The sequence below is a fragment of the Homo sapiens genome, chromosome 1 (genome assembly GCF_000001405.40).
Source record: "Homo sapiens chromosome 1, GRCh38.p14 Primary Assembly".
Classification (NCBI taxonomy): Eukaryota; Metazoa; Chordata; class Mammalia; order Primates; family Hominidae; genus Homo; species Homo sapiens.
In genome coordinates this window covers 61,041,006-61,055,651 of record NC_000001.11, presented here as the reverse complement: position 1 = coordinate 61,055,651, position 14,646 = coordinate 61,041,006, and the positions used below count along the sequence as shown (strand labels likewise).

At 48.3% G+C, this 14,646-nt stretch overlaps 1 annotated feature.

The window, feature by feature from the left end:
* Positions 420–1,293: an enhancer, noted in NCBI's record as "H3K27ac-H3K4me1 hESC enhancer chr1:61520031-61520904 (GRCh37/hg19 assembly coordinates)". NCBI's record gives its function as "activates a minimal SCP1, AML or CMV promoter by ChIP-STARR-seq in naive H9 embryonic stem cells {active_cell/tissue: H9 hESC(naive)}" and the evidence as "EXISTENCE:reporter gene assay evidence [ECO:0000049][PMID:30033119]".

Below are 14,646 nucleotides of genomic sequence, written 5' to 3'. Positions count from 1 at the left end.
AGGGCTGTTGTCAGAATTAAATGAGTTATCATATTAAAGTGCTTAGAGCAGAGCATGGCACATGTAGCAAACAGCTCAATGAATCTTAGAGGTTATTATTACTCCAATGTAAACACAGGGAAAGCAAGGTCAGATATAATAGGGGGATCTTTGAACTGCTCCTGGATTTCCACTGAGGCCTCTAAGCAGTTTATTTTATCTGGCTTTTATGATGTCAGTGTGAAGCAAGGAGCTCAGCAGTCTTTATTATTATTAAGAATAGGCCAGAACATTCCCTACCAAATCTGTTCCCATACATGGAATAGTTAAGCAACTATGGAGAATTCTCCACTTGACCAGATCAATGCTAATATGTAATGTTGGCTGTATATGTTAAGTGCATACTTATTAATGTGTGACTATCCAGGTGGCAGGAAGCCAAGGTTTCCTTTGGAGAGAAGTTTTCCAAGCCATGTTCCTGTTGCAATGCTTTCTTTCCTACACAACTTGTTACCTCAGGCCTAGTCTGTCACTGAATTATGAAGAAGTATAAACAATCCCAGGACTCAGGTATGCTCCCTTTGTGTCATTATTAGTTTAAACTGAAAGAAGGCCATCCTGAATTTCTCTTTCTCTTAAGGACCCCCAGAGTGCTGACTTGAACAAGGCTTTAGGAAGGGTCAAAGGAAGGAAATGCTTAAGGGAGCAATTCTGCTAGTGTTTGCAATTTGGGATTGGAGGCAAGCTGCAGTTAAACTTTATAGAGGAAGCAGAGATTAGGTGTTTCCAGAACAAGGTAGGCGCTGGCAGGCTGAGGTCATTGCTTGTTGGAAAGTAATGCCCCACTTCTTTCCTCCTTGCACTCTGCGAAGCCCCAGGTGCAGTAACTGTTTTACCAGGGGCCGGCAGAGAGACCGCCCCGTCGAGGGCAGGCAGGCCTGGGACGCCCAGTGTGGCATGGGACGCCAAGTTTAGTGGGTTGCAAGACCCGGGGTAAAGTTCTCCATTAGTAGAAAGCATCTTGCTGAGAGCGCCGAGAGAAACATTCATTCATTCCAAGCGCTGGGCGTGAGCGTAGGACTCCACTTGATCAATCTTACACAATTTTCAAAATAATGAATAAAAATAGAAGAGGGTGTGCTACCTTCTCCTCCACCTGCCTGTCTCCCCCTTGCTCGCTTGTGGGGCCAGGGTGAGACTTTTTAGCAGGCAAGAACTCCCCACCCCATCTTCACTATCACACTCGCACACACCCCTTCGAAAGAGGCGCTGTATCAGAAGGGAAATCTAAGGTACTCATACTTCAAAAAATTTCGGGAGCCCAAATCTGGCGGGCTTCATTTCTCGTCTGCAGCAACCTGGCACCCAGAAGTCGCGGGCGCTTGGCCTCGGAGCTCCTCCCGAGACCTCCTGCGTCCGGGTGGGGACACAGTGATTACTGTCCCTGGCAGCCCGCGGACTTTCCCAGTTTCAGAGCTTTTAGGGGAATTTGAGAGCAAATAAATTCAATTCTGCTCTCCATCGCCACCCACCCGGACCACGGGGATCTTCCACTGCAGGCCCTGAGAGGGACTGGAGTGAGGGCGGGTGCAGGGACCGAGCCTGAGGCGCAGGAGCTGCTCGGCAAGGTCACGACCGCGAGGCTGCAGGAGGCGGCTGTGGAGCGCTGCAACCGGGCGCCGCCCTCTGGCTCGGTGGCTGACCCCGCGCCGCGCCCCCTTATCTGTCGCCCGCCTGGCACATCCCAAGGGGAAGGAGGGGGCGACGCGGCAGAACCGATCCTTACTTTCGTGGTGGCAGCTGAAACCCGCCGGGCTCCTGGGCGAGTTGTCCTGGATCAGATGCCCAACACAACTGAACTTTAAATAAACGGGTTTCCTGCGCTGCCCCCTCTCCCTAACGGCGACCTGTGAGAAACCTTTGTCGCCTTCCCTTTGCGTCTTTGAGCCCCGGGAACCTAGCCCGGACGGCCTCGTTCTCCACATTAATTCGTGGTCCACCAGTTCAGCAGCCTGTCCTCTCAGCTTCTTCTAGGGTGGCTTATAATGAAGGTAGCAAGTTCAATGTTTTCTTGTTTTTTTTTTTTTTCCTCCTGGAGGGAGGATTATGTGAATTTAAAATCTCCTAGGCATTCAAAACCAAAACCAAAACCAACCAAACAAAAACAAAAAACAAACATAAACCAAAAACAACAACAGCAACAAAAATACTGTCTTCACTTAAGTGGATAGCGGAGTCAATCCAAGCCTTCCTTGGGCTAGTCTTGCTCAGACAGTGGAGTTCCTGAATCTTTCAGGAAAACAGAGCCCCTTTCACCCACTTCTGGAGGGGGACTTAATAAGACTGCAATATATTACCATGTTTAAAACGTTTTGCAGAAGCAAGATTGCCTAAAAACGACCTGCTGGCGATACACGGGAAAGCAAATCCGCTTACAGAGAGGGCCCGATCTGGAGGAAGAGGGGAGAAGGCAGGACCCAGCCCCAATTAAAACCCAGCACTTTCCAATTTTCGAAACACAGCACTCAATGCTGTGGGGCTACAGGATGGAGTGGTGACGGCCCCTGGAGCTGACAGGTTGCAGACCTTCCGGGCTGTTCTTTACTGCTTACTGGAAGTCTTCAGACTTCTTTTGGAGTAACCGTTCCCCTTTTGTGTTTTGTGGGCATGTGTTTGCACCCTGAATGAAGCTTGTCCCCACACTTGAAGTGGATAGCTCTTGTTCTTTAACTGGCAGTGAGTGGCCCTAGAGTGGGAATGTTAGTGCCAGTGCAGACTAAGGTGTGTGTTTGTGCCTGGTTTGTTGTCTCGGGGAAACCACCACCTTAATTGTTTTGTGCTCAAGGTGCCTGTGTTTTTAAAGTGAACTCAAGGGAAAAACTGCAGAGTTTGCAAGTTTTGTGATTCCTCAGGCCAGGAGAGCCTGTGAAGGTCTCGGATCCCGGTATCTCTGGGGCGAAAATCATTAAAAGTATTTTGTGGAGAAAGCATAGCTTCCCAGCTTCATGAGGATAAGGCTGCTTTCTGTAAACCTTCAAACCACAGTGCACCAAGCCTCTACCCTCAACCCCTCTTCGAGAACAGAAATGCACTCCAAGCATTTCTGGTCTTCTTGTGGTTACCATGCCATTATGTAGCACCACCTGAAACTATCTCTTTGAATACTGATTCCAACTTTTACAAAGTTTCTTGCCCTTTTTTGCACCCTGATAAGTTGTACTTGTCCTATGTGTAATGCAAGCTTGCCTCTGAGCCCTTGACCTGCTGTCAACCCCGGAATAGGGAGTATTCTAAAGGTTACATTTTCGTCTTAAGGGATAAAAATGTTGCTTTCATCCTGTTTACCGAGGGTGCCCAGTACAAAGTGGGCAAAGTGGTAGGAAATGCGGTCTCTGGGCTTTGCCAGTGTCGGGAGGATAGTTCCAGCATATTAGTCCCTGTCTGCTTAAATGCCGACGTTAGGTACCCGGCATGTGATGTCCTGCGGTTGAGCCCTCTTACTCTTACTCATCAGGTCCCGGCTGCAGCGCTGGGAACGCTGGGCACACCTGCCGATTTTAAAGCAGCAAATTCAGTTCAGGCCACCGGGAGCGGGAGGGCTCGCTTTTCCGCTGGGGCTACCGCATGAAGCAAGTGCTTAAATTTTTTCCCTTCACAAAAGGGAAAAAACCATTTTGCTTAAATCTGTTTTTTCTTAGGACGCACTTAGAGACCAGGCCCGCCAATATTCCAGTTAGAGTTAACGCTACCAGAAATATGCAGTGCTTTAGGATTCCAACTTGGGACTCGTTGAAGACCAGAATGTTACAGTCAATCTCGCCTTTCTCTTTTTGTTTCCAACACCCTACTTTCCCTTCAGTCTCTTTCCTCTTCGGTGTTCTCTACCTCTTGAAATATAAAAGTTTAATAAAAACACCACCCTATTTTATTTTTTAAAATAAAAGTTGACACTAAATTTGAGAGCTAGTGTTGCAACTAAGCTCTTCGGAAGTTTACCCATCTGTTCCCCAAACCTTTGATGCCTGTAATGTCAACCACGATTGCTTCTTAAAATTCACTAAAAGAAGTCTTTCAGTAACTTTGAAAAAGTGTAATAAATGCTAATGGGGGGGAGGGAACTCCCAACTCTGATGGATTTTACCTTCTCGGATCAAGGAGCAGGACTCCAAGCAAAAGAATAAACTTTATGTAGTTTATTTTTAAACTATTCTATTTTCAGTAGCGATTTCTCTTCCTTAGCTAAATTACTCAGCTTTGCTCAATTCCACTTTTACCTTTCCCCACACGTCCTCACTGACTCAGCAATTGTCACCGAGTGAGACCCTAGGTAGTGGGAAGGAGGCCCCCACAGATATGCTCCCCGGCTAAAGCGCTCGATTGAAGATCTGAGAAAATATCTTCAGAAACTACAAATGGAGCAAATCATTTACCTAATTCACTCAAGAGCTTCCACGGGAAGGACTCTGGAGGATGAGTGTCCTCCTAATGCGGTGCTAATGAAAAGCCCCTTAGCCGGCTCTCCGGCCGAGCGCCGGACCGCGTCTGCTCGGCGTCTACGGCGGAGCGACCCTGGTTGGCGGCGGCCGCGCATTCCCCCCCCCACCTGCCCGAGGTGGCACGGCGGCCGCAGCGACTCCGGACGCCGCCGGGGCCACTCTCCGGAGCGCCGCCCTGCGACCCCGGACGCCCCCTCCCTGCCCCCACCCACCGGCGCGGGTCTTCCTCCCGCTCTTCCTCCTCCTCACCCTCCCCGGGGCTCTGTGTGGGGGGCTAGGAGGTGACTGGGGACGCTTCCTCGGTCGCGACTCCCGGTTCTCCGCGGCCTCCCGCCCGGGGGGGTTGGGGTTAAAATCTGGGAGTTCAGCTCTGCGGCGAAATCTCGGGTTCCCAGGGAGGGGCCGGAGGGAAGGAAGACCCCGCCGGGAGCGCGCCGGCCAGAGCCGCCCCCGCCCCGCGCGGCCGCTGTCCCGTGGGGAGGATGAAAGCGCAGGGCCCGGGCGGGGCCGCGGCGGCTCCAAGGGGCGGCGAGTGCGGGGCGGGGACTGCGGCGCTCGCGGTGACCGGGCCCCCCTTCCCAAGCCGCAGCTCCTGGCCCTGCAGGTGCACCCCCAGCCCCCTTTTAGGCCCCTCCGTGGAAACCGCCTTCCGGCCCAAGTTCTATCCTTTGAGGCTTTGAACCAGGCCTTTCAGAAGTTTTTAAAGCTGCCCCGCCCCGCCGGCACTCACGGGGGTCACAGTCCCCCATCCCTCCACCTCCGCTACAGCTGCCGGCGAAGCGGGTGCCGGGAGGAAGCGGAGTGGGGGCCAGCGGGCCGGCCCGAGGGTCGGGGACCGAAGCGCCGCCCCGGAGCGCCAAGCTCGGCCCCAGCGCTTGGAGATCGCGCCGCGTAGCCCGACCTCGGAGGAAGCGCGGGCCCGCCAGCCCCTGGAGAGGGGAGGGCAGGGGGGCTGGGAGAGGAAGAGCGCGCGGGGAGGGGGGCATGTCCCCATCACCGAGGTTCCTGCGCTCAGTTCAAGCCAGGGGACAACTTAAATTGGCCTTCAGGGGAGGCAGCTGGTGACCCGTGTCCTCGCCCTCCAAATTCCCCTGAGCGAAGCAGGGCGCCACCTACAGGCGAGCTCTAGATAGCAGGCAGGAGAAAGACGCGCCTGCAAAGTAATGTGGCCCCGTCCCAGCAAGCCTAGCAAGGCCTGTTGTGTCCACAGCCTCCTCTCAGCTGCCTGAGCCTGTACCGAGTTATAGGTCCGTTGGCAACAGCAAGAGCCCTGAGGGCACTCAGCGTGTGCTTTTGGGGAGTGGAGAACTGGGTGTTAATTTCAGGAATTGGGGGATTCCAGTATCAAAGAAGTAGCAGCTCTGATTGGACAGGCAGGTTGCACCCTGACAATTTTGGCTGCACTTTGACTCCAGTATCTCGACTCCAGGCTATTTTCATGGGATGCACTACGTTTCCTTGAGAATAGCTGTGTAACCTTGGGCAAGTTACTTTATCTCCCTGAGTCTCTGTTTCCTCATCCCTCAAAAGAGGGAATAGTGGTACCTGTCTGATAGAGTCATTGTGAGAATTTAATGAGATGATGTAGGTAAGAAGCTGTAGGTGCCTTCTAAGGAATTTTCACCTATTTCTTTTTTAAAAATAGTTTTTAATTATTTATTTATTTATTTTGAGTCGGAATCTCTCTCTGTTTCCCAGGCTGGAGTGCAATAGCGCGGTCACGGCTCACTGCAACCTCTGCCTCCCTGGCTCAAACAATTCTCCTGCCTCAGCCTCCTGAGTAGCTGGAACTACAGACACGCGCCACCATGCCCGACTAATTTTTTGTATTTTTTAGTAGAGACAGCGTTTCACCATGTTGGCCAGGCTGGTCTCAATCTCCTGATCTCAGGTGATCTGCCCGCCTCGACCTCCCAAAGTGCTTGGATTACTGGGATTACAGGCCTGAGCCACCGCACCCAGCCAACTTTCACCTATTTCTAATGTGAAAACCCATCTTTTATTCTAAGAAATCTAACTTGTAAGACTGTTTAGCTTCTTTCTGTTCCTTGAAGATTAGGGCCTTAGAGGAAGTGGGAGAGAGCTAAGAGGTTTCAGTGTTTGAGTAGGAAACAGGATGGGTTATGGGGAGTTTTGATAACTAGCTTATCTCCTCATAGACAACGGCTGTAGGCCGGGTGCTGTGGCTCACATCTGTAATCCCAGCTCTTTGGGAGGCCGAGGTGGGCGGATCACCCGAGGTCAGGAGTTCGAGACCAGCCTGGCCAACATGGCGAAACCCCATCTCTAATAAAAATATAAAAATTACTTGGGCGTGGTGGTACATCTGTAATCCCAGCTTCTCAGTAGTCAAGCAGGAGAATCACTTGAACCTGGGAGGTGGAGGCTGCAGTGAGCCGAGATCACACCACTGCGCTCCAGCCTGGGCAACAGAGTGAGACTCTGTCTCAGAGAAAAAAAAAAAAAAAAAAAAGACAATGGCTATGTGGTGGCTCAAGCCTGTAATCCCAGTGTTTGGGAGGTGCGCGGGTCACTTGAGCCCAGAGGCTGGAGACCAGCCTGAGCAACACAGAGAAACCCATTTCTACAAAAAAAAAAAAAAAAAAAAAAAAAAAAAAGCTGGGCGTGGTGGCCCATGCCTGTAATCCTAACTACTTCGACAGCCAAGATGGAAGGATGGCTTGAGCCTGGGAGGCTGAGGTTGCATTGAGCTGAAATGGCACCACTGCACTCCGGTCTGGGTGACAAGCTAGAACTGTCTCAGAAACAACAACAAAACGAACCAAAAAAACCAAACAACATCTTATATTTGTGGATGACTTACTATTACTATTTACTATTTTTATTATCATTTGCCTCTATTAAATGATTTAATTATCATTTTCACAATCTCATATGGTATACATTATCCCTATTTATTTATTTATTTATTTAAAGACAGGGTCTCTCTCTGTCACCCAGGCTGGGGTGCAGTGGCACAATCATAGCTCACTGCAGCCTCAAACTCCTGGGCTCAAGGGATCCTCCTGCTTTGGCCTCCCAAAGTGCTGGGATTATGAGCATGAGCCATTGCGTCTGGCCCATTATCCCAATTTTAAAGATGAGGAAACAAAGACATGGGGATGCAAGCCATAGTTGCTGTATTTTTTCTGCTTTTAAAAATATTTTTTGGCAGGTCACAGTGGCTCACGCCTGTAATCCCAGCACTTTGGGAGGCCAAGGCAGGTGGATCACCTGAGGTCAGGAGTTCGAGACCTGTCTGGCCAAAACAGGGTGAAACCCTGTCTCTACTAAAATACGAAAATTAGCAATTAGCTGGGTGTGGTGGTGGGCACTGTAATCTCAGCTACTTGGGAGGCTGAGGCAGGAGAATTGCTTGAACCCAGGAGGTGGAGGTTGCAGTGAGCTGACATTACAGCACTGCACTCCAGCCTCGGCGACAGAGCCAGATTCTGTCTCAAAAAAAAAAAAAAATTTTTTTTTTTTTACTCTAGGAGCCCTAGATCTGTATTTCACTATATTTCAGAATCTACCTTTTTTTTTTTCTTTTAGAGTTGTGATCCTGCTATGTTGCCCAGGCTGGAGTGTAGTGGCTGTTCACCGATACGGTGATAGCATACTTGTAGCCTTAAACTCCTGGTCTCAAGGGATCCTCCTCCCTCAGTCTCCTGAGTAGCTGGTACTGAAGACTCAAGCCACCATGTCCAGTCAGAATCTAACTTTAACATTAATCTACCTTTAAGTTTACCTACTGTGTGCTAGATTACTAGATTAGGAATTTTAAATATCAAGTGTCGTATAATTCTCACAACACCTTTGTGAAGGAAGACTAACTTCTGTCATCACAGAAGAGGAAGGAGAGGTTCAGGGAGATCAAGTGAGTCACTTAAAGTCTCATAGAGAAGTGGCAGAGCCAGGTTATGGAGAGCCCAGATCTCCCAGCACACACCCAGGTGTCTTCCACTGCATTACAAGTGGAATGTAATGCATTCCACTTGGCTGCATTACAGCCAAGAACGCACCAACTGGCTCTAGGGTACTTAAAAAAGTTATCAAGAAAGATCAGGCAGAAGGGTGGCTTGCTCGGTACTTTTGCTACACTAAAGATGTGGTAAAAGATGGTGTTTTCAGCCTCAGTTAATTGTAGATTATAATGTTTCCTAGGAAAATATTGATGATGGAAGAAGGGAGCAGGGGTGCATTGGGAGAAACCAAGAATGAGTGAATTTGTAATTTTATAAATATCAATAATTTATATTTATTTTATGACCAAACTGACCAAATGTCATTTTAGTGTATACATTACAATGAAAAGTTTAGTATAATCTAGCTATTGTCAAATCCTGGCATCTAAACTATAGTCATAGAGCTTTGTCGATCTGGTTATGGAAATTATTTACAATAGGTGTTTTTGTATAGCAAATGTTTTTGCTGGTCTGTATCCATGTAATAGGAACATTTTATGATGAAAGGACTGGATTGTTCAGGGAAGCAAATTATGCTTCTTTCAGGAGTGTTGTTTTGTCATTGTGCAACAATTACTCATTAGTTCCCCTTCTTCTTACTTACCTAAGTAGCAAACCAACCCGTTCATCATTCCTAACCAGAAAACGCCTTTCCATCCCCCAAAACAACTGAACTCATCAAAAGGTGTGGAGTTACTGATAGAAGGGTTTGAGTTGGGCATTGGATGTAAAGGTGTGCATTCCATCTTCTTTCTCCCACTGGGTCCAGCCATGATGCTTTTGCTTGCCAACACAATATCGTGAGCTCAGACTTTGGCAATTCATCTCTGGTTTCTTTACACTGAGAGTGTTTCTAATAATATAATAGATTTTCATTTTGAAACAGATGCCACAGAGGATTCGTTAGCAGGAAAACCCTACTGTGTAACTAACACTATAAAGTTACCAAATGTAAGGTTGGGTGGTTAGATTGTTAGCTTTTGGGGACCAGTTGGTAATTAGATAAGGGGGCTTTGTAAAGAAAAACCAGTTGAAACCAACACATATTAATGGAATGTATTTTGTATATTCTACACTGTTCTAGGTGCTAGGTGCTAGCAGAAATATGGAGAAATACAAGAGTATTTCTCCCAACATTTGCATTATTAGTTTTAGGGTAAAATTTTCTCCCATTCTCCCATTTTTCAAGTTCATGCCTTAGTTTCGTTATAATAAAATCATGAGGATAATGTTCAAAGAACATATACCCTAGCTCAAACATTAAGCTGATAAATTTTCTTCCTGAAATTACTATCTTCATTCTAGAATTTTAATGTTTCTCATTTCATCATCTTCACATAGCTAGGGTGACTTGAGAACAGACTTTAGGACTTCCATGTCATGGAAACACACATTGATTGGTGTAAGAGTGTGGATTGGATAGGTATATTTCTGGAAACCTTAGCTACTTCTTTTTGGTACCATTTCCCAAAAATGAGCAATCCAGGGCTTTTTTTTGGTAAATAAAGGGCAGAGCTGTGATCCAGTCTATAGGCCACTTTGGTCATTTATTTATTTTGACACAGAGTCTCGCTCTGTCACCCAGGCTGGAGTGCAGTGGTGTGATCTCAGCTCGATGCAACCTCTGCCTGCTGGGTTCAAGCAATTCTCCTGCCTCACTCAGCCTCCCGAGTAGCTGGGATTATAGGCATGTACCACTACGCCCGGCTAATTTTTGTATTTTTGGTAGAGACAGGATTTCACCATGTTGGCCAGGCTAGTCTCGAACTTATGACCATTCACCTGCCTTGGCCTCCCAATGTGCTGGGATTACAGGTGTCAGCCACCGCACCAGGCCTATAGGCCACTTTGAAACTCATTACTGTTCTTCATATCACCTGTGTTGAATCAGAGCATTGACCTTCCCAAGTCCCAGTCTCAGTACTTCAGAATGTGGGTATCTCCCTGAGTCAATTGCAGGGCACAGGCTGTTCTGTGTAGTTTCAGCTTTGGGAAAGCAGATACTTATTACAGTGAAATGACTTTTTACAACAGACAGGAATAAGATTTGCTTAAGAAGCTGAACTGCTGCTCTTGATCATGGAGGATGGAATGTTCAGTAAGGGCCACTGGTGAGAGTCTAATAAACTGATATTACTTATTATTGACATTAAATGGACCAGTCTCATGGGCCGGTTACTCCGAAAGTCAATTACCGAAGCCTGTAGTAAAAACTCAGTGTTTTCAAATAATTTAGAGGCTCCAAAAGGTATCAGTAAAACATGGACTGCTGAGTGTCTGAGGCAACAGAGCTGACTGAACATAAACAAGATGGGCATAGTCACATATTTATTTGAAGAACTCCTGAAGATGCCCAGAGCCTAGGGATCATGGGAACGATTCTGAAATGGTTGAAAGAGAAGGAGGGGTTATATCAATACCAAAAGTATTTAGGCCCAAGGACATTGTCTCATTTAACCCTGTGTAATCCTCACAATACCAAGGCATAATTATCCCCATTTCACGGAGGGAAACAGAGACTCATAGTTACAATTCCTAAGAGGCTTGGATAGGGCTGCTTCTGTGCTAGTCTGGCCCCAAAGCCAGTAGATTATCCGTTAGATTCTGGGCCCCTCAGCCTTCTCAGTCTGGGCTTGATTTACTTGTCCAACTTTATCTTCCAACCGGAATGATTGGCTCTTTTTTTTTGACAACGTCATCTCGAACTTTATTAAGTATCTGTTTTCTAGGCTGAGCCTACATAGAACAACCTCTGAACTGCAATGGACTCACGGAGATGTCCACACACAGATGCTCTGAGACTCCACTAGCCAATTCCAATACCCATCCTTGATTTGTTTACTCAGCTTTGCTGCATCTATTTGGATACTTAATCTAACCAATTTGTCCCTTTTTTGAATTTTTCTCTCGCTAATCAGCTTGCAAGATCCTATTCTCATTCTCAATAAGCGCTGCTGGTGCCTGATTCAGTGCTCCGCACGTTGTTGTCTCTCAAGAAATCCTTGCTGGTTGCCTGTAAGGCACCCACTCTCCCTCCTTCCCTTCCCATCCTCTCCCCCAACAAAAGCTGGTGCAGAAACATCCCAAAAGGGGCCAGGTTCCACGTGCTTCGTCCCCTTCCTCTGTCCCCTCACTGTCACCCACCAGGCCCCAAATATAAAAGGCGAAAGGCGCCGTTGCAATCAAAGCCTCAAAACAAAAGGCTCAAGGGGCGACTTTATTGACTCAGCCCCAACCAACTCAAACTTCCCCGTCGTCAGAATGTTCTTTCCCGCCACTACCCTGTCTTCCTGGAGCTGAACTTAAGACTCTTGGTCTGGCACTCGAAAACGCGTGAGGGGTGTGTGTGTGTGTGTGTGTGTGTGTGTGTGTGTGTGTGTGTTGGGGGGAAATGGGAGAGGATAGCAATAGTGCCGAAGGTGGAGGCAGTGGGGTGCGGGGAGAACGTTTCCCAGGGAACCTGAGAGCCCCAGATCTCGCGGCTGGCGACTTCCAACTCTCCCAAAGAAAGCCGCGGGCCTAGCTCGTTCATCAGTGTCACATTTCAATGGCAGCGCGGGGCGGCCTCGGCCAGGTGCCCGCGCGGGGCCGCGCGCCTTCCCGGCACGGCTCGGCCCGTCGGCGATTCAGACACCGCCAACCCACAAAGCCCAGACGGGAGCCCGGGGCTTGGGGAGGCCCCGAAGGCCCTGCGCGCCTCTCCTTCCTGCCGCCCCCACTACCCGGGGCTCCTTCGCGGCCTGCCGCCGGGCAGTGCGGGCCGAGTTCGGGCCTCTGTGGCTGGAGCCCGGCCGTCCCCGCGCCCCGCTGCCGTCGTGGCTTGGGGGTTCTGTCCTTCCTGCCTTCGAAGGCCAGGTCCCTCCTCACCCTCCACGCTGGTTCCCCCGGGAGCCACTGTCTGGGGCCAGGGGAGCCGGACTTTCTGATCGCAGCCCAGCTCTGCGCGACAGCGGGGCCGCGGACACAGCGTCCGCAGAGCGGCAAGACACTTTCTAAACTCGGGGATCTTTCAGTTTGCGAACAGGGTGGCGAGTAGAACTCTACCCCCAGCGCCACTGCTTTTACCCGGCCGCCGCGAGCTGACACCAGAGGGCGCCGTTTTAATGCGCTTCGGGCAAGGACCAGCTCCGGGAGCGCTCCGGCGTCGAGGCCGGGCTCGGATCTCGGGACTCGCTGCGGCGCCCTCTCCCCTAGGGCGCTCGGCCTGGGGTGCAACAGCGAACCCCGCTTCCCTCTTCGCGAGGGGAGGTTTACTGCACAGGATTGCGCCCTGGCTTTGCACAGAATGAGGGTTCCTTGCAGCCGTCCGGGTGAGGAGGAGGAGTGGCCCCTACCTGAAGCCGTGCCCCCGCCTAACTGCTAAAGAACACGTCTGCAGGCGTTGTTCAATTGAGAACGACTAATTAATTTTCCAGCACTTGTGCAGAATACTTTAAAATGGAAAAATGAAGGTCTTCGATGAAAATGAAGCTTGATAGTGTGCACCTGCCACTAATGTACGGTGCACGGCAACTTCCCCTCATTAGAGCGATGACTTGGGTTGAGAACAAGTCATATAGTGAAAATCACTTCAACACGTGCCTGTTCATATGCATAAACTCCTGTGTACCAGATGGCAAAATATAATGACATCTTAAACAGCTAATTGCATAAACCTTGTAATGCAGATAATTGCTGTACCAAAGTAGGAGTTAATAATTTCCCACTGTATTGCTTGACTTCAGAGTAATCCTCAAGGAAAGTTGTGACAATTCTAACACACTAAAGTTCACCAAGAGGTAATTAAAACTAGCAGTTAAATCATTTGACTTTCAAACCCTTAATTATGATTCGGAAGAACTGCTTTGTGGAAACCCAGAATTTACGGATGGTTATGTGATAACATTTAATGCCTGTATTTCATCAAGTTTTCTTTCATATATTTTATTCTGGAAAGTTATTCCAATAGCAAGAGGTTTCCATTTTGGGGTAAGAGTGGTTAACTGCCACCCCCAGTTGGACTGTTGATTTTTTTCAATTAAACATTTATTTATAGAGCCCCTTCTACAATAACTAACTCCAAGCCTTACCATGTGCCTGGCATTGTTCTAAACTTTACAGGTATTATCTCATTTAATCCTCAAAGCAACCATCTGAAATGTGTACCACTGTCATCCTCATTCTCCAGATTAGGAAGCCCAGACATAGAGATGCTAAGTAATTTGCTCAAAGTTGTCTAGAAGTCACTTTCCCAAACTCCTACGGTCTGACCCCAGAGCTCATGCTATTTACCGCTGTAATCTACTGTCTCATGGATTAAACCAGGGCCTTAATAATTTAATATTTCTTTTCTTTTCTTTTTTTTTTTTTTTTTTTGAGAAGGAGTCTCGCTCTGTCGCCCAGGCTGGAGTGCAGTAGTGTGATCTCGGCTCACTGCAAGCTCCGACTCTCGGGCTCACGCCATTCTCCTGCCTCAGCCTCCTGTGTAGCTGGGACTACAGGCGCCCACCAGCACCCGCGGCTAATTTTTTCTATTTTTAGTAGAGACGGGGTTTCACTGTGTTAGCCAGGATGGTCTCGATCTCCTGACCTTGTGATCCGCCCTCCTCCCAAAGTGCTGGGATTACAGGTGTGAGCCACCGCGCCCGGCCAATAATTTAATATTTCTAATTATTGTCTAATAATATTTAGAAATAAAACTAAAATAACATAATTGGAGTATAAAAGTCAGTTGACAGGTAGATGTCTTTGCTGAATTTATCGGTTTATGTCACGATACATTCCAGAAGCAGCTATCTGCTATTTCCACAGGGTAATTCCACAACAGTGAATACACCAAGAAAAATAAGCCTTTGAAACTAAGTTTTTATTTCATCAATACCTAGTTTAGAAGGCATGTGTGTCAAATATTGTATGTTCTCATTCATAAGTGAGTGTTAAAAATGTGTACACATAGACATACAGAGTGGAATGATGGACAGTGGATACTCAGACAGGTGAGAGAATAAGGGGGGGGGGTGATAAGAAATTAGTTAATGCATACAATATACATTATTCGGGTGATTGATAGCCTAAATGCCCTGACTTGACCACATTGCAATCTATGCATGTAACAAAGTTGCAGCTGGGCACCATGGCTCACACCGATAATCCCAGCACTTTGGGAGGCCAAGACTAACAGATCACTGAGGCCAAGAGTTTTAGACCAGCCTGGCCATCATGGTGAA